Raw genomic sequence first — 22612 nt, 5'->3', positions numbered from 1 at the left:
TCCAAACTGGTTATTCATAAAGTTTGAGCTCTCTATTGTTTAGACATTAGCGGTCTTCTCATTCCAAGAAGTGGGCAATAATGTAAAGCTTGTCAAATGTGGGGAAATGAGAAAGGTGAAAAACAAAAAAAAGAAACTAGAAAGGGATGCCTGTTTGATTACCTCTGTACCTCCTTAACTAACATTGTGTCTGGGCTCAGGGCAAGATCTGCCAGCATGCAAACAGGATACACTAGGAACAGCTGCAGACAGTGACGGACTGCACTGGTGTTAGAACACCATAACACTATTAATCCCCTCCAGTGAGGAGCTCTGAGGTGTTTGTGCTTCACAAACAAGCTTTCTATATTAGGCTGACACATCCCAAAGGCAGTAACAGGCAAAGCCCAGACCCAGGCAAAGTCTTGATAACATTATCAAAGAAGCCAGGGCTCAAAGGATTGTGTTGTGGAGACTCTCCCAGCACTCCCTCAATATAGGGAGAAGAAAATAAATTTTCCTTTCCCCTATGATATGAGTAAACGTATGAGTTTATACATTCCTGTTTTCTGTAACTAGTAACTTCAAGTATTCTGTTTTATCTAAGCAGCAAGGTGAAGGTTATAAGACGTGCCTCAGCAGGCCTGGGCTGCAGTCATCTAGGCACCATATTGAAGTTTATGAGACAAACCCACACAAGGCACTAGAGCAAGCCTAGGTAACAGCCATATGGACTGCACAGCAAGAGTCACATGTAATTCTGAGTTATGAACCTGTTACTATTTGATTAACTGCCTTTGTTCTGCCTCTGTATCCTTGCTTTCATGTCACTACACTTCATGCCACTGTAAGCTTGTTTCAAGCTAGCCCAGCCACTTTTTGAAGTGTGTATAAAAGTCAAGCACTGTCTTTGCTCTAGGCCCAGTTTTTGGATGTTAATCCGCTGGGTCTGAGCGCATTCGATTAAATTATCCTGTTTCACCCCATGGTCTCTTTGGACCTCCTTCATTCCAGCAAAACTTCTACACCCTGCTCTGCTTCCCTTCTTACCTACCACATTCCTGGTTCACCTCCTAACTAACCTGCTCACACTCAAAGCCTTCACTTGGATCAGCTTTTGAAGGTGTCTTAACTTTGGTGGGCAATATTTATTTGTCAGACATGCATTTCAAAGCGGCAAATATCAACTTACATAGGAATATGCAGACACATTAACACCTTGTGCTCAGAGGATTTATGGTGTTTGTTCCAAATGGAATGGGACAGAAAAGTTTAGGTAGACCTTAGGATCTGGCAGGACTGATGGCTCAGGAATGACCTGTGAAGGTAACTTACTTGGTACAAGGAAGCAGTCCCACATTCTTAATAAAGAGATGAAAAGTAGAAATGAGAACTAGGCATTAATCTATTAAACTATTATTCATTTTTAATTTTGAAGCCAGTTTCCCTTCTCAAGTACCAGGAGGAAATACAGTATAGTTAATTTAAATAAGCAAATATAAAAATTATCTGAAACTCTTACAAAAGTTAATGATTTTGCCCATTCTATATTCATGCATTTCTTCTGGTAGAGAGTTAGCAATAAAAATATTCAGAAATGTTATTCACCAAGAAGAGGAAAAGCATGAAACTAATTTACCAACCTATGAATAACTTAGAATTTACTATAAAAACAGATGAGTTAGGTCTAAGTTATGTGCAAATAAATGGGTTAAGAAAAAATTAAATAGTCAATCCATTTTGGCAAACATAGACTAATTTTGTATTTTAAAATAACTATAAGAAAGATAAGGACAAAAAGTCTGGCTTTTCTCTGAAAATCAGCTTTATAGCTCATGAATCCCAAGCAGTGAATCTAAACTAAATGGAACTCATTTTATCTATTTTTTTTTTGTTTAATTATACTTTTATTTCCTGAGGTATTCATAGCCGATGAAAACAAACAAACGAACAACACACACACAAAAAAACCCTTCCCCCTTTCCTTGACACAGCCTGAAGTTGTCAAACCTGGCTCTCTATCTAAATCAAATACAACAGAAAATTGCTTAGGCTTTGCACAGACAGCTACATTGGAAGTGGTCATTGTTTTTTTAAAGTAATTATAAACCACTGGAAGACTGGTACAGTTTTAGGTCTGGAGCAAACAGGTATAAATGGGCATTTATTGGATGAAAATGCACCATTTTTTGAAACATAGCAGTCATTGCAGTCATCATTAAAATGTTCTAGCTCTTCAGGTGGACAAATACTCAAAATTTACATTTCCATGTGTCTCAATTTGAGGTGTATCCCAAGTGTTAGTTCTTGTACTCTTATATATCAAAAATGTAAGCACTGAATTCATAGTAGATTCCGTTTTCAGTAAAGATGCATCACAGAATGATAGGAATTTAATGAATCAATAAAATGGTGGAAGACACTCCCTCCAGTATATGTCTAAAGGAGACTTAACCACTTCACTAACAAGATGGTGGCACCTCTTCCTACCTTCCTCAAGCTCATCAAATGTAGAAAACAGCCTCACTGGGAAAAAAAATGTCTTTAACAACTTTTTTGAAATATGTAATTTTCATACCATAAAATTGTCTCATCTTAAGTGCTCACTGACATTCTTATACTTACTGTGTTGTGTAACTATCACCATCACTGGGTTCTCGAATGAGTCCATCAACCCACAAAGATTGATCCTTCATCCCTTACTGAGAAAATTTAAAGGTAGAAACAACAACACAACATTTTCTGTCTTTACCTTCTCTTTTTATTACTCATGTTTCATTTCCTCATATATTGAACAAGGATTTGTTGGGCAGCTACTATGTGTCAGGTACTGTTCTAGGCAGTGGGAATAAGAAGTAAAAAAGAAAACACATCTGGTCTTATGAAACACAGAAACAGACACACACATTCATCCTAATTGAATGCAAGGATAAACAGTGCACAAGATTAATAAGCAAAATACTAAGGCAGGGTAGACAGTCATAACAGAAAATAAGAACAAAAATACAACACAGGAAAATGGATTTGTTTGCTTGTTTGTTTATACATATATGTAGCATGGCTAAAGATGCTTTTGCTGGAAAAGAGGTATTTGTATAAAGAAGGTGAGCCAGACAGCCTTTCAACAAGCTGAAGGAAGAGCATATCCCCGGTCCAGGACCAAGCAAATGTCAATATCCTGAAGCAAGGGAAAGATTATAGTATTCAGAAAACACAGAGGAGCCTAGCAGGATGAGCAGGAAAACAGGGAGGTTACCGATGAAGTCTAAGAGGAAGGAGAAAGGGGGGTCAACTGGGTCTTAAAATCCATTGTAAAGAACATGGCTTCTCTGAATCAGATGGGGGAAGCTGCTGGGACACGTTGAGCAAAAAACTGACGGGAAGTGGCTCAGATTTTAGTAGGATCACTCAGGTGGCTGTGTTGAGAGAGGACTAAAAAGGAGGGGATCCAGAAGTGGAAATCCGGAAGCAGGGATGAGAGGCCTGGGTCTGAAACCCAGGATCCGGAAGTGGGGATCCGAAAGCAGGAATGAGGTGCCACGATCAGGAAACAGGAATCCAGAAGCCTTAAGGCAGAAGCCAGGAGGCAGAAGTGGGGATGTGATTAGGAAGCTAATACAATTCCCAGTTAAAGACAGAACTGAGCGGATTAGGGGAAACACAGGGAAAGGTGAATCAAGGCAGATCTGAGGATTTGCGGTGGCTTGCAGAAAATGTTTAGAGTCGAGAATGACTGCAGGCCTCTTTTGCCACAAACTGCTGCAAGAGCAGCATTGCCGATTACTCAAATGGAGGCTATTGAGAGAAAGAGTGCTTAAGGGAAAAGTCCTTAATTTCCTTGGGGATGCTCGTATTTCCAGAAAGAGAGTAATCATTTATCGATCACTGTGACTGTTATGCTTTTGGCCTTTTAAAAAAAAAAAAATAGGTTTTTCTAAGAAATAGATTAAGCACCAAACTGCAGGATACTCCCCGTTCCATGGGATTGCAGTTCAGATACATGGGTAATAAAGGAAGCTAAAGACACAAAATTAACTTTATTTCTAACTTTAAATTTTCCCAGTAAGGTATAAAGGACATTATTGGGGTGATGGACTCATTCTAAAACTAGATGATGGAGGCCGAGGCGGGCGGACAACGAGGTCAGGAGATCAAGACCACCCCGGCTAACACAGTACAACCCCATCCCTACTAAAAATACAAAAAATTAGCTAGCCGTGGTCGTGGGCTCCTGTAGTCCCAGCTACTCAGGTGGCTGAGGGAGGAGAATGGCGTGAACCCAGGAGGCGGAGCTTGCAGTGAGCTGAGATGGCGACACTGCACTCCAGCCTGGACGACAGAGCGAGACTCCGTCTCAAAAAAAAAAAAGAAATAGAAAAAACAGAAATTAGATGATGGTGATGGTTGCACAAGTCAGTAAATACTAAAAGTCACTGAACTGTACACTTGAAGATTATCGGGGGACCTGCCCCGATAATCACGTAGGTTCTTTTCTATTTTCCTAAGCGTCGGCTGGCTTGAGAAATCAAGGGACAGAGTACAAAAGAGAGAAATTTTAAAGCTGGGCGTCTGGGGGAGACATCACACGTTGGTAGGATCCGTGATGCCCCACAAGCCACAAAAACCAGCAAGTTTTTATTAGGGAGTTTCAAAAGGGGAGGGAGTGTGCAAATAGGTGTGGGTCACAGACATCAAGTACTTCACAAGGTAACAGAATATCACAAGGCAAGTGGAGGCAGGGTGAGATGATAGGACCACAGGACTGAGGCGAAATTAAAATTGCTAATGAAGATTCAGGCACCATTGCCACTGATAACATCTTATCAGGAGACAGGGTTTTGAGATCAACCAGTCTGACCAAAATTTATTAGGTGGGAATTTCCTCTTCCTAATAAGCCTGGGAGCACTATGGGATACTGGACTCTATTTCACCTCTGCAGTCTCGACCAAAAGAGACAACCACACCCGGGAGGGCAGTTCAGAGACCCACCCCCAGGTACACATTCTCTTTCTCAGGGATGTTCCATGCTGAGAAAAAGAATTCAGCGATATTTCTCCCATTTGCTTTTGAAAGAAGAGAAATATGGCTCTGTTCTGCCCAGCTCACCGGCGGTCAGAGTTTAAGGTTATCTCTCTTATTCCCTGAACAATTGCTGTTATCCTGTTTTTTTTTCAAGGTGCCCACATTTCATATTGCTCAAACACACATGCTGTACAATTTGTGCAGTTAATGCAATTATCACATAGTCCTGAGGCAACATACATCCTCTTCAGCTGACAGGATTAAGAGATTAAAGTAAAGACAGGCACAGGAAATCACAAGGGTATTGATCAGGGAAGTGATAAGTGTCCATGAAATCTTTACAATTTATGTTTAGAGATTGCAGTAAAGACAGGCATAAGAAATTACAAAAGTATTAATTTGGGGAACTAATAAATGTCCATAAAATCTTCATAATCCATGTTCTTCTGTCATGGCTTCAGCTGGTCCCTCCGTTTGGGGTCCCTGACTTCCCACAACAGAAGATAAGTGAATTTTATGACATAAAAATTATATTTCAGTAAAGTTATTTAAAGCATTTTTCCCAGTAAGGATCTTTCGACATTTGGTGAGAATGAGAAACAGATGTGGCCCCACCTTGTTAGTGATTAAGTTGGCTTTAGAGATCATAGAGGGAATGTCTACCACCTTTTGTCTGATATGTTAAACCTGTCATTCTGGGATTTTCTATATTTAAAATATAATGGAATCTTCTGTTAATTCTGTGCAGACATTTTTGGTTTGTAAGATTTGAAGAACTAAAGCTTGGAATGTTCCTCACAATGAGATACATGGACGTGTGAATTTTAGGTGTATTTGTAACAGTGACAGAACAACATTTTAATGATAACTACAATAGTTGCATTTTCCTTAAATAAAAGTCCACTTAAATTTGGGAGATAGAGTTCGCATTCTAGATTATTAAGTTGCTCCGATATACCAGAAAGCGTCAGAACAGCTTGACCTTCCTACTCTCCCCCAGATCCTGGCCCTGCCAAAAGATCTCTGCCCAGATCATGAGAATAGCAAGGCTGTATAATAAATCATGGGAGCAAAACCACCTTCATTAGACAAGAGGTGCCACCACAACTCTTACAGGAAATTATTTAAGCATCTGTCTCTAGAGGCTGGGAACAGCTTCCATCCGATGTCTGAATTTGCAGTCTTGTTCATAGAGCACCAGCCCAAACCCTGCAGGCAACTGAACAGATGGTAACACATTTTTGACCACAACACGTCTGAATCCCATTTGAACCATAAAACTTAAGGTGATGCATTCTGAAACTTTTTATTGATCACTGCCTACTAACCCACAATTAATTATTTCACATGCCTCATTAAATTTTCAGATCAGTTGGAGACAGAGTCTTAAGACAGGGTTTGATGTCTTCATTTACAATTTCACTTTAAAGTTTGCTTAGTTCATGAATTTGCCTCCTTAGGAGGGAAAAAAAAGAAAAGAAAAGAAAAAGAAGCCCCCCCCCCACACACATTTTAAAAGGCTTTTAAATGTAAACAGTTACATTATTTATTAATGTCACAATCAATAAATTTATGTAAAATAAAACAAATTTAGTTTCTGCATAAGAAGATAACTTGTGATTAGTGGGAGAACAAGGTAACTAATCTATATTTGTGAAACCAGATCCTTAGAAATTAGTCAAGCAGATGTCTAAATTTGGAAGGTACACAGCCATATGGACGCAACTAGAAAATAAACCTGCTTCAACTGTCACAGATTAACTGCAAATGTAACATACTGTTCATTTGTTTCCACAGAGATTTTAAAATATCATTGCTGTCAGAACTGAACAAAATTATAGCAATGATTAAATTACTAGGGAGGGGTTTAAATTCTAAATGTTATGAAGCAAAGGGAGGAGTCAAATTCGCTCTCAATTTAACAATCATTTCAAGGAAGACTATTTTGTCTAGAGTAGCTTAAATTCAGTCTTTCTCTTTGAAAATCAACTGAATAGTGCTTAATGCAAAATATCTTTAACCAAAAACTCAACAGATGTTGATAATGAAAACCCCCCGCCACTTCAAAGTTTTTTAAAAAAACTCCCTTATGTTATCTTCTGTGACATACTGCAGGCAAAATTTCAAGTTGTCCTTAACCATAAATGTGCACAGTACCTTCAAACACATCTGGTCCCATTCTTTAAAACAGCAAAGCCACCTGTTGAGTCTTAAGACAGGGTTCATAAATATGAACATGGTGACAGTGAATCTATATTCATGTATGTATGTATTTAAGACTAACCTTTGGAAGAACAGAAGTGTTTGCTGGGGGCAGTGAAGCGTCGAGTTCCATGCACATTCACAGCAGCCACTCGAAACTGGTACCGTCAGTTGGGTCTTATGTCAGTCAGTTGAACTCACAGAGCACAGGGAACATGTCACCTTTTATTCTCACATGTTGGTTGGATCTGTTTAGAAAAATACACTAACCTATCAGCCAGTGCAGCTGAGCCTGTCTTCCTTCTGATAAGTGCTGCTTATCATGCCCAGTTATGAAGAGAGCTGTCAGGGATCAAGGAATCACTTATATTTCACCCCAAAGAATTAAACATCTCTTGAAGTCAAAATCTCATGACAAGAGCTCGGGCTATTTGTAAATCTGGTGATTAATTACAGCATTTGAGCGATTCAATCAACAGAGAATATTTATGAGTAGCCATTGTTACATTACAGACAAGAAGATGAAATCACCTCCAGGTTACAGAAAGAAAATATTTTAACTCACATGCCAAATATAATTATAAAAATAGCTATAACAACCCACATGCTTAAAGACCACTAACAATTTCTGGAAGTAAATTATAACCTGAGCCACTGTTTAAAAAAACCTTTGAGTAAATCACGTAACGTCTGTGAAGAACCAGTCTTGATCATAAAGGGTGAAATGTGTTAGCATGTATTTGTTCAATAAAATGCCCAAAAGGGGAAAAATGACACTGGGGAAGATCAGTAGGTTTTGCTGTCTCTAGTGCTACAATTTTAAGATATCAAATAACTTTAATAGTCTTCATACTATATACCTGCTTTCAACAATGTTCTGTGTTTAATTTCCATTGGTAGGATCTTGAAAACCTTTGCCTTGAATTCCAAAAAATAACCACCTACAGTCTGTGCCTTCATCTACACCAGGTGCTGAACTCAACTTGCTCTTTGGATGAAACTAGGGAAACAGGATTGGATTTAAACATTCCTACACTTGTTTATAATAACTGAGGTTATAACAACCTCAGCTTATAAGAACATGAAAACGACTGTCATGTTTACATCAATATCTAAAATAACATTTCTGAGAACAAAGGAAGAATATGAACTCTTACATGTAACTTTCTACCTGCTTTGGCAGACTTTGAGAAAACAGTTTCAACTTCATCATTTAGAGTTTCAGCTGTGAATTTAAAAAGCTTAAAGTCGGCATGGTATCTACAGTGTTTAGCAGACAAGGAGGTATTATATGTAGCATTAACAGGATAAAATAATAACAACAACAACAATAAAAGAGCTTTTGTCTTTCCAAAAATCTTTTGAAGACAAAAGAGATTATCTTATTTTCAGTTATTTTCATAAATCTTCAACTAATTTGGAAAAATTTCAAATGAATCTGTACCATGATTTAGGAAAGTATGGCATGTAAATCAAATGGAATTTCAGGCTGTATTCTGAGTGGCTTTATGTTTTATTGAAGCAAAGTTTTTTTATAAAATAAGTATAGAATAGAATTACTGAATTGATTTGACCAGTTTTTTTTTTTTTTTCTAATTTAATGTTGTTGTTGTTTTACATCAAACTTCTTATTTTGGGGTTTTTACATTGTTTTATTTTAGTGCTTAACCCCTTTGAGATAGTGCTATTTAGAAAATATTCTTCTTGCAAACACCTAAATAATGACATTTATTTTTCATTTACTAACAAAAATATAGGAATCTAGTCCTTGTAAAAAAATGACCTAATCAACTTAAGGTGACAATTTTTTCCTATAGACATAAATGTGGGAAGGCATTTTCATTGTCTAAATGCATGGAACAGTTTCATATTCAGAATCTGTTACTTTTTACATCCATGTATGGTTTCTTGTGTGTGTGTATGTGTCTCTGTGTGTGTGTGTGTGTGTGTGCATGTGGTGGGAGGCAGCAAGTAGCAGCTGGTTGTGCTTTTAACGGCTCGTAAAAAGAAAGAAGATAACATTTCGCTTTTCTCATCAACAAGACAGAAGATGAAGACTCAGTGTTAAGATAAACTCTGGGAGTGTTGCCATGCAGATGGTGTATCAGTTTTTAAGCTGACTAAGACAAAGAAGAAATCACTGGTGAAGGTTTATGGGCTGCTGGCTATGTCCCAATAAGTAATTTTGTAATACAAATCTTACCTCATGCTCCTTAAGTCTGGGTGGGATAAAGGAATAAAGGCAGGAGAAACAGAAGAGAAGGCATTTAGATGATTAAATATCAAATTAGTCCTCATAAAGTTTCATTTCCCTTACTCTAATTGGCTTTGAGTTTGGCTGAGGGAAATGTGGTTCTTGGAGAAAATACATGTGAACAGATTATAAAATTATCTACCTTCTATGTATATTTCAGAGAAATTATTCCAATGGTTGAGCCTCTGAGCATATTCATTTGTATCTGTGAACCTCATCCTCTCTTTAGCAGACCTTTATATTGTTTATTCCGTATATGAGTAAGTAATTTCTGTAGTCAAGCTATTTTGAGGCATAGCAAGTTAATTTTATGTGCGGAGGTATGTAGCAGACACTACCTCCAGGATGAAAATCAAAGTCTATATGAAGCTTTTACCTGTACCACTGTCTGCCAATGAGTGACATTGTCTTCTCTAGGATGGATTCCATAATTCCACCTTCTTTGTACCACAAACATCACAGGCTCAATAGGAATATGGAATTTGGAGGACCACTTACCTCCAGCTGTCCAGACGGCAATTCTGTAAATTGTAACCCTTCTCTGGGCTTCAGGGGGACACCTGAAACAGGACAATATCAATTAAAACAATCTGCATGTGACTCAAAGTATAAGCTGAGGAAGAACAAATCTGGAAGAGATGAATCCGATCTGATGACAACTGAGATTTCCTTTCATAAAAGTGGCCTCTTCATACTCATACAGGGTTTCACTTCTGAAGTCTTCTGACACTCCATTCAGCTATTTGCTCCTTTTTGTTTTAACTTTTCTTTTTTTTTTTTTTTTTAGAGAGTATAAACTGATTCCTGATTCTGAACAAGTGATTTATTCCTTGGTAATCTCTACACAGTCATTTCATGTGCATTCTTCTGAATAAATCATGTTACAAGGTTGTTTCACTTGAGGTTAACATGGAATTCACACTATGAGATCACTATAAAGCATTTCAAGTCATTTTCCCATTTTTTAATATGCTCTGTGTCTACTGATACATTCTAAGGTCATTATAACATGGTTTCCAGATTTAATCTTCCTTCTTTCTCAGGGAGTTTTCCATTTAAGGAAAGAAAACACTGCAAAGTGAAATCTCTTCATGTGAAATCTCCTGAGTGATTTTCAAAGCTCAAGTCTTTTAGATTCTGCAATGACTGCTCAAGCACTCCACCATAGTCTTAATGGAAAATAATGAATTTATAATGTTTGGATTTTGCATGAGTGAGTGCACTGCTCCAAAAGTTTCTCATAGATGTCTCATTTTAAAGTAGTTAATCATTCTGATTTCTTACTCACCTTCTGTACATGCAAGTTGTCTGGTAATTGATATATTGAAGAACCACAGTTCAAAATAGCAGACATTTCCGAAAGGGAATTTGTTAAGAAATTGGTAATACTAATAGAATATGCAAAACTAACTCAATAAGATAGAATCTATGTCACCATGATGGTGAATGCCATCAACAACAAGAACACCAATTACCATTAATATCATTTTCTGTCCACAATGGTCATTTGCTGAAAGCACTGAAAACTCATTTGAAAGGCTATTTAACAATGCTTGATTTCTTCTTCTATTTTGTAAGTTTAAACGCAGAAGAAACTGGAAAATGTGCAAACACAAAATGCAAATAATGTTTGATACATGCTGGTGACATGGCTGAATTTCAACTCCTCTTTCATTTGGATCTTAATTCACGGTAAGCCTGGTTTAGAAAAATTTTAAAGTCATCAAAGATTTAGATGGATGGAGTTGAATAATTTTTAAAAAGCATATTTATATATGGTCAAAGTCGCTGATTTTCAAAAAATATTTTTTAGAGAAAATGTTTACCATACTTACTGCATTCTCCTTTTTTATTGCCGATGGGTCATGGCTGAGTAGCAACCTTTAATTTACAATAAATTTGTCTCTCCTGATCCTTACTGGGAATTTGTGAAGTGGGTAAAAGCTTAATTATCTACTTATTGAATGGGAGATATTTGAGTCTAAGGAAGATTAAATAAGTTGCCTGGGGCTACGATCTGATCTCAGTTTTCTCTCTGAAATACCTGCTTCTTTCTACATTTCATAATAGAAAAGGCCACACAGAGAGACAGAAGATAGAAGTGGTTTTGATAGATATGCAAATCCTTTGGATATTTTTCTTCTAAGATCCTCAGCTTTCTTGGTGGATCTGGGACTTCACCAAGTCAATCTTTGACTCCTGTTCTGCCATGACATGCATTTCTTTCAAGCTTGTATCCTAAACTTTTCTTCTCAGTGCATAATCATAGCAATGGGGGTACCTTGACTTGGATGATTAGCTTATTGCTACTAAGCAAATGTTTCTCCAGTCTATCCCTAATCCCTGGCTAAGCTGCAGACCATCTTTTCCACCTGCCTGCTGAATTTTTCTGTTCCAGATATGTCCCTTCTACTGGGATATCTATCTTTATGACAACTTTATTCTTTAGAATGGCTAAGGGATCTTAGAATCTTTTTGATATGTTCTTGAAGCTAACAACATTTAGTTGTTTTATTGCATAATACATTTTCAAGAATCTACAAATCATTGTGTCGCCATGGTGGTCACCCAACTTTACTCCCCTCCTTGTTCCGACCTTCACAACAGCCTTTCAACCTATTTCCCTGCACCTGAATCTCTTTCACTAATGACCCCTTATTGGTACTTTGTGGTTATTTTTCTAAAGTAGAAGTGAGGTTCTCTCCTTCAGTTTCCCAAACTCTTTCATTGTATCCTATTCTCTATAGAATGAAGAGAAACTTCTTGACATCCCCTTCAAGGCATCCATCTTCATGATTGGCTACCATTTTATTTGTCAGTCTACCTCCAAGTATCTGTTTAATTTTTGTCACAGATATTATCTACAAACCCAGCTTTCCTAGAAACACATTGCCAGGTACTTCATAAAACCATGGGCTGTTTGTGGTGTTTATTTTTTTTTCACTCTGAAATGTCTTGCCTTCTGCTTTCTAACTAAAGACCTTGAATATTTCCAGGCTCAGAAAAAATGCCACCACTCTGTGACACATCCCCTAAATTTCTCAGTCAGAAATAAAGGCTTTATTCTTTTGACCCCTTCAATGCTGAACCTCTAACTGTCAAGACATGCGTTTAACTGCTTCTTGCTGCAGCAAAGTCATTTAATGATGCCAGTTTTCCCATTAAGCCATAGCCCCCATAGGTCAAAAACCATGTCTCCTTCATTCCCACACCTCACAATGTCCCAGAAGAGAAACTTCTGCAATAGCAAATGTTCAATGAACAGCCTATATTTGCTGAACAAATAGCAAAACTTACTTTCTTACTCTTCCTTCAAGAATATGTGGAAATAAGAGACTAGTGCAATATTTATGCTAACCATTGCAAAAATGATAATCCCTACTCTGCTTGAAAGTCACCAAGGGAAGGGTGAAGATTTATCATAGTTATTTTGTACTGCCGTATTTATCATATATTGTTTCAAGCAGCTCAGATCTCTTTTCCAGCGTGGTCCTGTTACTCACACGTACATTCGCTCTGCTTTTTACAAAAAATAAATAAGAGAAAATAAAGCAATGCCAAAATGTTTACAAGATAGAACATTTTTATTGCATTGACCATAGACTAACTCATTACAAAAATAAATAAAAGATCAATTCCTGATAGGATAGAAATCCCAAAGTTAATTGATTATTGGTTTTAATAGAAGTAGCTCTCTATATTTTGTGTCAAGAAAAAAGCCATCAAAATTTGTTCAGAGTGATGAAAAACAAATCTTAACAAAGTGATCATTTAGTATCATTCTTGCATTGAAGGTTGGCCAGCAGATGCCAGACAAATAGTTCTACAGAAAGGGTATGTGGATAAGAAGAGAGATAGTAGCCTCAGATAACATTTCATTATTTCCTTGATTCTTTGGTGTACAGTAAAAAAAAAAAGATGACCAGTTCTTCAAACTAATAGAGCACATTCTCTGAGATTTCAGAATTTACTTTGCTCTTTGTCTTTCCCGTGTGTAATCCTCTAGAGTAAATACAGCTACAGTAAATACTCTAGCCTATGAAGAAACCTTAACTCACCAGAAGCCAGCCCAAGCAGCCCAATCCCCTCGCAGTAAGGTTTTAATCTTGAATGGCACTTACAGACCAACAGCCTTAAACAAATGTATTGAGCACAAGGGTGATGTCTGTTCAAATTTCTTCATTTAAAAATCTCTTTAATTATAATGAAGCATGACCCTGAAATACGCATGTTAAGAAATGGTCCACCTGCTTTGCAATAAGGTCAGTTGGCTCCTTTGATTGGAAGTAGCTCTGGCACTCTGCTAGAATTGTGAGCAGATGAGGCTCAGCCCCTCTCAAGACCTCCAGCCCTCACTGCCAGTACACACAGTACTCAATGGCTAACCAGCATCCCAACTGCATAACCAGATGTGTAGACTGGATCTCTTCTCAATATATTTTCTATTATGTAAATGATTAGCATTTTTCTCTTTAAAATTATTTTTGGACAAATTAGTCATCTGAAATCTAAACTATTCTGTTGAAAAATTTACAGACATTATTATATGGCATGTGCAATATGTAACATCCACTTTTTTTTCTTTAAAATGCAAAAAAAATTCTGTGAAATCAAGAGCAGAAAGCCAATGCTTTTTTAAAATGCTGAAAATATATGAATAGAAAAATCAATTAGGATAAGCAATCCACAGTTGCATACTCACTGTGAGATTTTACTATTACTATTAATTTTTTATCATGAGTCTAAATGATATTAAAATGTAGCAAGATCTATTGTTATAGTGATTTAATCACCACTTGATATCTCTTATAAAGGTAATTAGAACCTAGAATTTGTATTTATAACACATTAAGGTATTGGGCCACTTAATTCAAAATTGTTGAAAATTTATTTGTGAGAAGTTGTATAAATCCACTTATACAATTGGGTTCATTATACAACTGAATCTATTTATACAAATGAAGTTTAAATATTTTACATATTGATTATTTGTGGAAATATTAAATAAACTCTATGATCAGGTCTGTTTGAAAATAAACAGATTGACATCAAAGGAAGATATACATAACTGCAAGCCACAAATTAGTCTCAATCTTTATATTTGTAAAATTTTTTAACTTTTCTCTCTCCCTGCCCAAACCATTTTTGCCACAGTTAGAAGCCAAGGGAGGCCATGGGATTTGGCAGCAAAATAGTAAAACACACACCCTCTAGAAGAAAGATTGTCTCACCAAGCCATAAAATAGATTTAGAAAGTAATAGAAATAGAAAGGAAAAAGGAAGTGCCCCCAAATGCACTCATTTGTGTTCTACCTGTAGAAGATAAGCCTTTTAAACTTTCTACAACTATATGAAGGTTTGCATTTCATAGAACTAGTACCAGCAGGCATCTCCAATCGTGTTAATATTTCCAACCCTTCATTTTGATGCTAATAATTTTATTTAAAAAGTAAAAGAAAGGATCTCTGCTGTTTGTTTTAAACTATAACACTAGTCTATGAAGATTAACTTACTTCCAGCCATCGGTCAAGCGCGGTTCTTATGGTGTAACTCAAATTCAGTGCTCAAATATAATAGGAGGCTGGGTGCGATGGCTCATGCCTGTAATCCCAGAACTCCGGGAAGCCAAGGCAGGTGGACTACTTGAGATCAGGAGTTCAAGACCAGCCTGGCCAACATGGCAAAACCCCATCTCTACTAAAAATACAAAAATTAGTCAGGTGTGATGGTATATGCCTATAATCCCAGCTACTTGGGAGCCTGAGGCAGGAGAATCACTTGAACCTAGGAGGCTGAAGTTGCAGTGAGCTGAGATTGTGCCACTGCCCTCCAGCCTGCACAACGAGAGTGAGACTCTGTCTCAAAAAATATGTATATGTTTATATACACACACACATACATACACACACACATATATAATATGAAATTTTGTTGATCATCATTTCAAGACACTCATTGCTTTTAAAAACTCAAGAGACCAGTATATAAAGCTCTTGAAGCTATAAAATCAGTACTTTCCATTTACCCTTTGACAAATACAGCAGACTAAACAGAAAGTATGTATGGGTTTTTATAATTTAAAAATATTTTTAAATATTAATTCAATAAGTAATAAAAGTAAACACAGTACAGAGGTTGGTAAATGACAATATATTTAAAGGTTAGGAAAACAATTTGCCCACTTAAAGAGTATTGTGCTAATGACAATCTCAGTAATAAACTACTGGACCATGTGGAGGCTGGTGTCACATGTATACTTGCACCCCAATGCCAATTACAGATGACAGCAAATTGTAGGCACTCCATGAACATGTATTCAACTGAAATGTGCCAATACTTCTCCATGCATGTGACAGCAGCCCCTTTTAAAAGTAAACCAGTGGGTGGGCATGGTGGCTCACACCTACAATCCCAGCAATTTGGGAGGCTGAGGTGGGCAGATAAAAAGGTCAGGAGTTTGAGACCAGCCTGGCCAACATAGTGGAACCCCATCTCTACTAAAAATACAAAAAATTAGCCATGTGTGGTGGTGTGTGCCTGTAATCCCAGCTATTCAGAAGGCTAAGGCAAGAGAATCACTTGAACCCAGGAGGCAGAGGTTGCAGTGAGCCAAGACTGTGCCATTGCACTCCAGTCTGGGTGACAGAGCAAGACTCCATCTCAAAAAAACAAACAAACAAATGTAAACCATGGAAAATGTTAAGAAAATGTTATTTTGAATCTCCAAACAGCACTATTCAACAACACTTTAATACATGTTAATTAATGAATGAGAAGCTAAGAAGGAACTTCAGGTTTTCAATCTGTCCCATAGAATTTGGTTCTCCATATAGCACACTCTGTGTCTAGTTTTATACACTTCATCTCTAAAATGTAAAACAATCCCACATTATTCACTAGCCTAAAATGATTCAGAAAGTAGTAATTTTTTAGATTAAAAATATTCTATATTGACAAATCTTTTAGTTGGCCTATTAGAGAGACAGATATGTAATAGATATAGATATATTTTGGGACAAGGTCTCACTCTGTTGCCCAGACTAGAGTGCAGTGGCATGATCATGGCTCAGTGTAACCTTGAATTCCTGTGCTCAGGTGATCCTTCCATCTCAGCCTGCCAAGTAGCTATGACTACAGGCACATGCTACCATGCCTGTTTAATTTTATTATGTTTGCAGAGATGGCAATGTCTTGCCATCTTGCTCAGGCTACTCCTGAACTACTGCCTCAGCCTCACAAAGTGCTGGAATTAAAGGGGTGAGCCACTGTACCAGACCTTAGTTGGCCTATCATATAATAATGCAATGATGCTCAGTGAATGTTTTTATTAGGGCTCCATAGATTCAAACTAAAAATGACAGGAGAGCTAGCCCAAGTAAGAACAGATGTTAAATCTATTTCTGCTACCTACTACCAAAATCACTTAGGCATAGCCTGCAACAGTTTCAGCAGCTGTGAACAGAGAGCAGGACTAGTTAATCTCAACACACCATGACTCTCACTCTTATCAAGGAAAGCAATTACACAGACCTAGCAGAGACAGAGAGAAAGGGGGAATCTTATTTCACATTAGTTTGTTTGGAGCAATAAGAAGGCATCTTGGAAGTAGGAAAGACAGTGATCACGAGTATCCTAAGATTGCAAGATTGGTTTCTGTGATGACTGCGCACAGGTTTTCACCTCGCAAAGCCAAGCGATGGGTTGGAATGGACATATTCCCTGGGGCTTGGGGATATCTGACCTCCTCTCCTCTTCTGAGAGTGAAGAAGCAGCTGGACTCCAGGTTGGGAATGGCAACAGGGACTTCAAGTGGCTCATTAGCTAAGATGGTGAAGGAGTTGCTATGGGCTCTATTTGCCCTCGTTTTACACAAACTAACGTATTCAGAGCCACTGTCAAAGGTCCTAGGACATGAAAACCAGCCTTCCTTGAGGGGCTGCTGAAGAAAGCAAGAGAAAAATATCTACCTGCACATATATATCTTTTTTGCAAAACAACAATCTATTGACTTGATGGTCTTCATTAAGCAAAAGTCATTGTCAGGTCAACAGTCTGTTTATTCTATTTGTAGCTGATTCCCATCGATTATCTCTCTCTCTCTCACCACAAAAATCTAAGAGCTAATTTGTTGTAGAAGAGTGACTTCAGTACTTTAACAAAAGTCCATCCAGTTTTGTTAAATGTAGTTTTACACTGAAAGTGTCTTTTTATACTTAATCATTTATTCCGGTCCTTTCTACTATTCCCTTTATTTTCAAGTGAAACAGGCAGAATTGAAATTCCTACTAACTCTTCAATCCTTTTATAAACATGCATATTTTAATTTATATTATCTCTTTAAAACACTACAGGTTTTACAACTGGTTTTAAAAAGACCATTCCAAAAGCATCCTATTTTTATGGTGAATGCTACTCATACATAGCATAATCTTTAATGACAAATAAGATTTCATAATGACAGATGCTTTAGAAGTTAGATGGTTTTAAATTTTGCAAAAGTGATTTGCTGTAGTTTAAAGAAAGAGGCATGAACACAATAAAACTTTAAAACTATTAAAGAAATATTACTTGGTAAGAAGAGAAAAGCAGCGATTATTTAGAATGTGAGACACACTACTTATGGCATGTTTCCAATAATAAAGAAAAAACACTGGATGAATTACATAGATTTCAGAGAAGAATATTCCCAAGTGAGAGCTAAAAGAAGATGGGATAAATACCTAACTTCTAAGAGATGTGAATGAGTGTTAGAGTAACACGGACTTCCAAAAATAGGCAGTCAGCACATAACTCAAAGCTGGTATTGATGAATACTGCTTTACACACATTTTTTAAAAGACTACCAGTATTTAGAAACAATATGGATTTGGCATATGTGTGTGAAAGACACAAAGAGGGAAAGGCATCTATTAATCTCTGTACTTTAATGAATACTGCCTGCTGACTGACTCTATATTAGGGGTCCCCGGCCCCTGGGCCTCTGAGTAGTGGTCTAACAGTCTGTGGTCTGTTAGGAACAAGTCCACATAGCAGGAGATGAGTGGTGGGTGAGTGAACAAAGCTTCATCCATATTTACAGCCTCTTCTCATCACTCACATTACCACATGAACCTCCTGTCAGATCATCAGTAGCTTTAGATTCTTACAGAAGCGGAAACTCTATTGTGAACTGCACATGTGAGGGATCTAGGTTGTGTGCTCTTTATGAGAATCTAATACCTGATGATTTATCATGGTCTCCCATCACCCCCAGATAGGACCATCTAGTTGCAGGAAAACAAGCTCAGGGCCCCCATTGATTCTATATTACGGTGAGTTGTATAATTATTTTATTACATATTACAAGGTAATAATAATAGAAATAAAATGGACAATAAATGTAATGTGTTTCAATCATCCCAAACCATCCCCTGCCCCCTCTCCCGATCAAGGTAAAATTGTCTTCCAAGAAACCAGTCCCTGTTGCCAAAGAGGCTGGGGACTGCTGCTCTATATTACTCTTTATGAGACCCAAAAAATTAACAAAACGTTATATGACATAGTGTATTTTGATTGTATCTCAAACTATACATAATACAATGGAATCAGCTTGGCTTTTAAAAGACCTTAGTCCTGGCTAGATGTGGTGGCTCACACCTGTAATCCCAGTACTTCGGGAGGCTGAGGCGGGCAGATCACTTGAGGTCAGGAGTTCAAGACAAGCCTGGCTAACATTGTGAAATCCATCTCTACTGAAAAAAAAAAACAAAAAAAACAAAAACAAAACACACACACACACACACACACACACACACACAAAACTTACCCGGGTATGGTGGGGCATGCCTGTAGTCCCAGCTACTTGGCAGGCTGAGGCAGGAGAATCTCTGGAACCTGGGATGGGGAGGCTGCAGTGGGCTGAGGCTGTGCCACTGCACACTGCACTCTAGCCTGAGAGACACAGCAAGACACCATCTCAACTAGAAAAAAAAAGAGGTTAGGCCAGGCACGGTGGCTCATGCCTGTAATCCCAGCACTTTAGGAGGCTGAGGAGGGTGGATCATGAGGTCAGGGGATCGAGACCATCCTGGCTAACACAGTGAAACCCCATGTCCACTAAAAATACATAAAATTAGCCAGGCATGGTGGTGGGTGCCTGTAGTCCCAGCTACTCAGGAGGCTGAGGCAGGAGAATCGCTTAAACCTGGGAGGTGTAGCTTGCAGAGAGCCCAGATCGTGCCACTGCACTCCAGCCTGGGCAACAGAGTGAGACTCCATCTCAGGAAAAAAAAAAAAAAAAAAGAGCTTAGTCCCACTTACAGAAAATGACAAGTAGCACTTGATATTAAGGAGCTAAGTGCTCTAGAAATGGCTTTTGAATATAAACTATTGCATCTGCTAAGCTGTTTGATAAATTGAACTCCATTGTCTAGAATCTCAAGGTACTAATCAAAATATTTAAGATCTGTACAATGACACTAGTGTTCTTGGATTCTGTCAGCAGAAAAAGCACAACACCATTATATTTATAGTGTATTTTTCAAGTGTGTATCTCCCAGCCTATTTTCCAGGGATTTCAATCAATTTATTACTCCAATGTACCCAGTAGAGCTTACTTGAATCAGTCTGACTAGAGAAAAGACAAATAAAGACAAAAACCTTCCTGAATTGTTGCTGTCCATCGCATATGTCAAATTAAAAAGAATTAATATGAATGACTTGCTTTACCCCAAGTCCAGTTAATATGGCTAATATTTATGGGTCCATGAATATGTTAAGATGTCTGTATATGATATAAAATACATTTTCTTAAGATTTTATGTTTTGTGGACTTTTCACACTTACAATGGACACCCTTCCCTAGGCACACACAGATTTCTGTGGCACTGCATGTCTCTTCACACCCCCAGTAATGCCCCTTATCTTTGTACAGAGTCTTGGGTACTTGATAGGTGGGTCCACACCCATTCAAAGAACATTTCTTTACCCCAGAGCACTCACTGTCAACTTCGCAGCTTTCAACGCAGGCGGCCGCAAATCCACTGGCTTTCTCAGGAGCTGGACAGTCCCCCTGCTTCACCAACAGGGTGTATTTGAGGAACTCACAACTGGTAAAGCATTCATAGTTCTCCTTGGGGAAAAGAGGCTAAGTCAAAAAAGAATTTTTTAAAAATATTCCATTAAAGACACAAAGTCTGATTTCCAAGGCATCTGAAAGGAAGTTATACATTTTTTTCCCATCAAGCTTTTGCTTGAATGTTTGACAAAATACATATATTGGTTTTCTCCTATCAAAGTGACAATTTATGCTGATTCCTCAAAGGAATATAATCCATGAGTGGTTATTTTATGTTGTATGCAACACACACACACTGTGTATATGCACTCACATTCACAGATCACATATTCCACCTTGGTTCCAAGATGTTTGTCAAAAAAACTGATTATAAATAACCTGTTCAGTACAACTTGAGGGTCCTTTTTGGATTATATAGACTACATGTATTTTCATTTTATAACAAGCCGCTCTCCCTAATTTTTTCTTTCTTTCTTTTTTTTTTTTTTTTTTTTATGGATAAGGTCTCGCCTTATCACCAGGCTGGAGTGCAGTGGTGCAATCATAGCTCACTGCAGCCTTGAAATCCCAGTCTCAGGGAATCCTCCTGCCTCAGCCTCCCAGCAAAATAGAACTAAAAGCACAAACCACCATCCCAAGCTAATTTTTATTTTTCATAGAGATCAGGTCTTGCTATGTTGCCTAGGGTGGTCTCAAGTCCTGGCCTCAAGCAATCCTCATGCCTAAGCCTCCCAAAGCCATTGGGATAACAGGCATGAGCCTTCACACCTGGTTATTTTTTCATATATATTAATATTCATCAAAATAACAGTAGTTCTGTAAAACTTTACAGTTCTCACAATGGTAACATATTTGTTGGTATTATATAGTACAGTTGTCTAGGCCTCCTAATTGAACATATTTCAATAATTTCCAGTCTTTATTGTGAATATGAAATTGTCAATCAGTTGTGCAGTAAAAGAATGTGAATCTGGTTTAAAAATCAGCCCACACCTATGTTATCTGTAAAATAGTTGGGATTTGAACAGCATCTTGCTGAGGACATTTTGGTTGAGCCCAGAATCTATCAACCATTAGTGAGAATAGCGTGCCCTGGACTTATTAGAGGAATGTATTATTTAAAAAGTGTTAGTAATGTCAAAGAGCCATTTTTCAAATGCCTCTTTTTCATTAGGAAAAAATGGTTGGAAAAAGCATTTGGTTATCCCTGCAATCAGAAGATAATGGCTTCTTTCTGCCATGGAATGGAGGAGTTGCTGAGACTTCTAAAAGCTGCCCCACCCAGGGAAAGAAAGAGGAAGGATGCTCTCTGTGCTCTTGCCCTCTTTTTTCTTTAAGGAAGACAACAGTCAAGACAGCTCCACAAGCCCCAGCCCTAACCTTAACTACCTTTTTGTTTTATAGAAGATAGCAGAAAAGATGAACACCATAACTTTAACTTTTACCCCAAGCCTCCTTTTATCCTTATGGGAGACGCTTTCCATGATAACTACTATTCCATTAAAGACACATGAAGTCTTCTTGAATGTTTGACAAAATAGATGTGTTTGCTTTCTTTTATCCCATCAAAGAGGCATTTTCTCCTATCAAAATGCATTTTCATGTGGAACATCTGTGCACAGCCAGGTTAAATTTCACTGCCTTTCTTCTACCTAGGGGTGGCCATGTTGTCATGAATGGAATGTAATCAGCAAACTTCTGTGCCACTGTGGACCAAGGCTTGCAGGTGGTAGGGGGTGGCACCCCCATGTTCTTATTAGCAAGATGTGGGTGGTGCCACAGCTGTAGAGACTGGTGGGGCCACAAGAGGAGAGATGCCAGGATACTGTCTGCCCACATGGAGGAAGACAGCACCCTGCCGGGAATTGTGCCTTAAAGTGCTCCATGGGCAAAAAAGCAAGTATGCATGTTTTGAACAATTGTACATGTCAAGCTCCATTTGTGACAACAATTCAGGCTACCTGAACCAATGCAAATGCCATGGTTCCCCAACTTTGGAAGTGGAAGATGAGCAAGGAGGACAATTTCTGTTTATGTGATGTCACAACAGGTTTAGGAATATAAGAAATAAATGTGGTGGCTTTGGTGAACACAAGTC

The 22612-nt window shown here is 37.9% G+C and overlaps 1 pseudogene; it reads right to left on the bottom strand.

The window, feature by feature from the left end:
* The window catches only part of ANOS2P (anosmin 2, pseudogene), a 168317-nt pseudogene that overhangs the window by 40938 nt on the left and 104767 nt on the right, over positions 1–22612 (bottom strand).

This window comes from Homo sapiens, chromosome Y (assembly GCF_000001405.40).
Source record: "Homo sapiens chromosome Y, GRCh38.p14 Primary Assembly".
Lineage (NCBI taxonomy): Eukaryota > Metazoa > Chordata > Mammalia > Primates > Hominidae > Homo > Homo sapiens.
The sequence above is the reverse complement of the archived record's forward strand: the minus strand, read 5'-3'. Positions and strand labels throughout refer to the sequence as shown.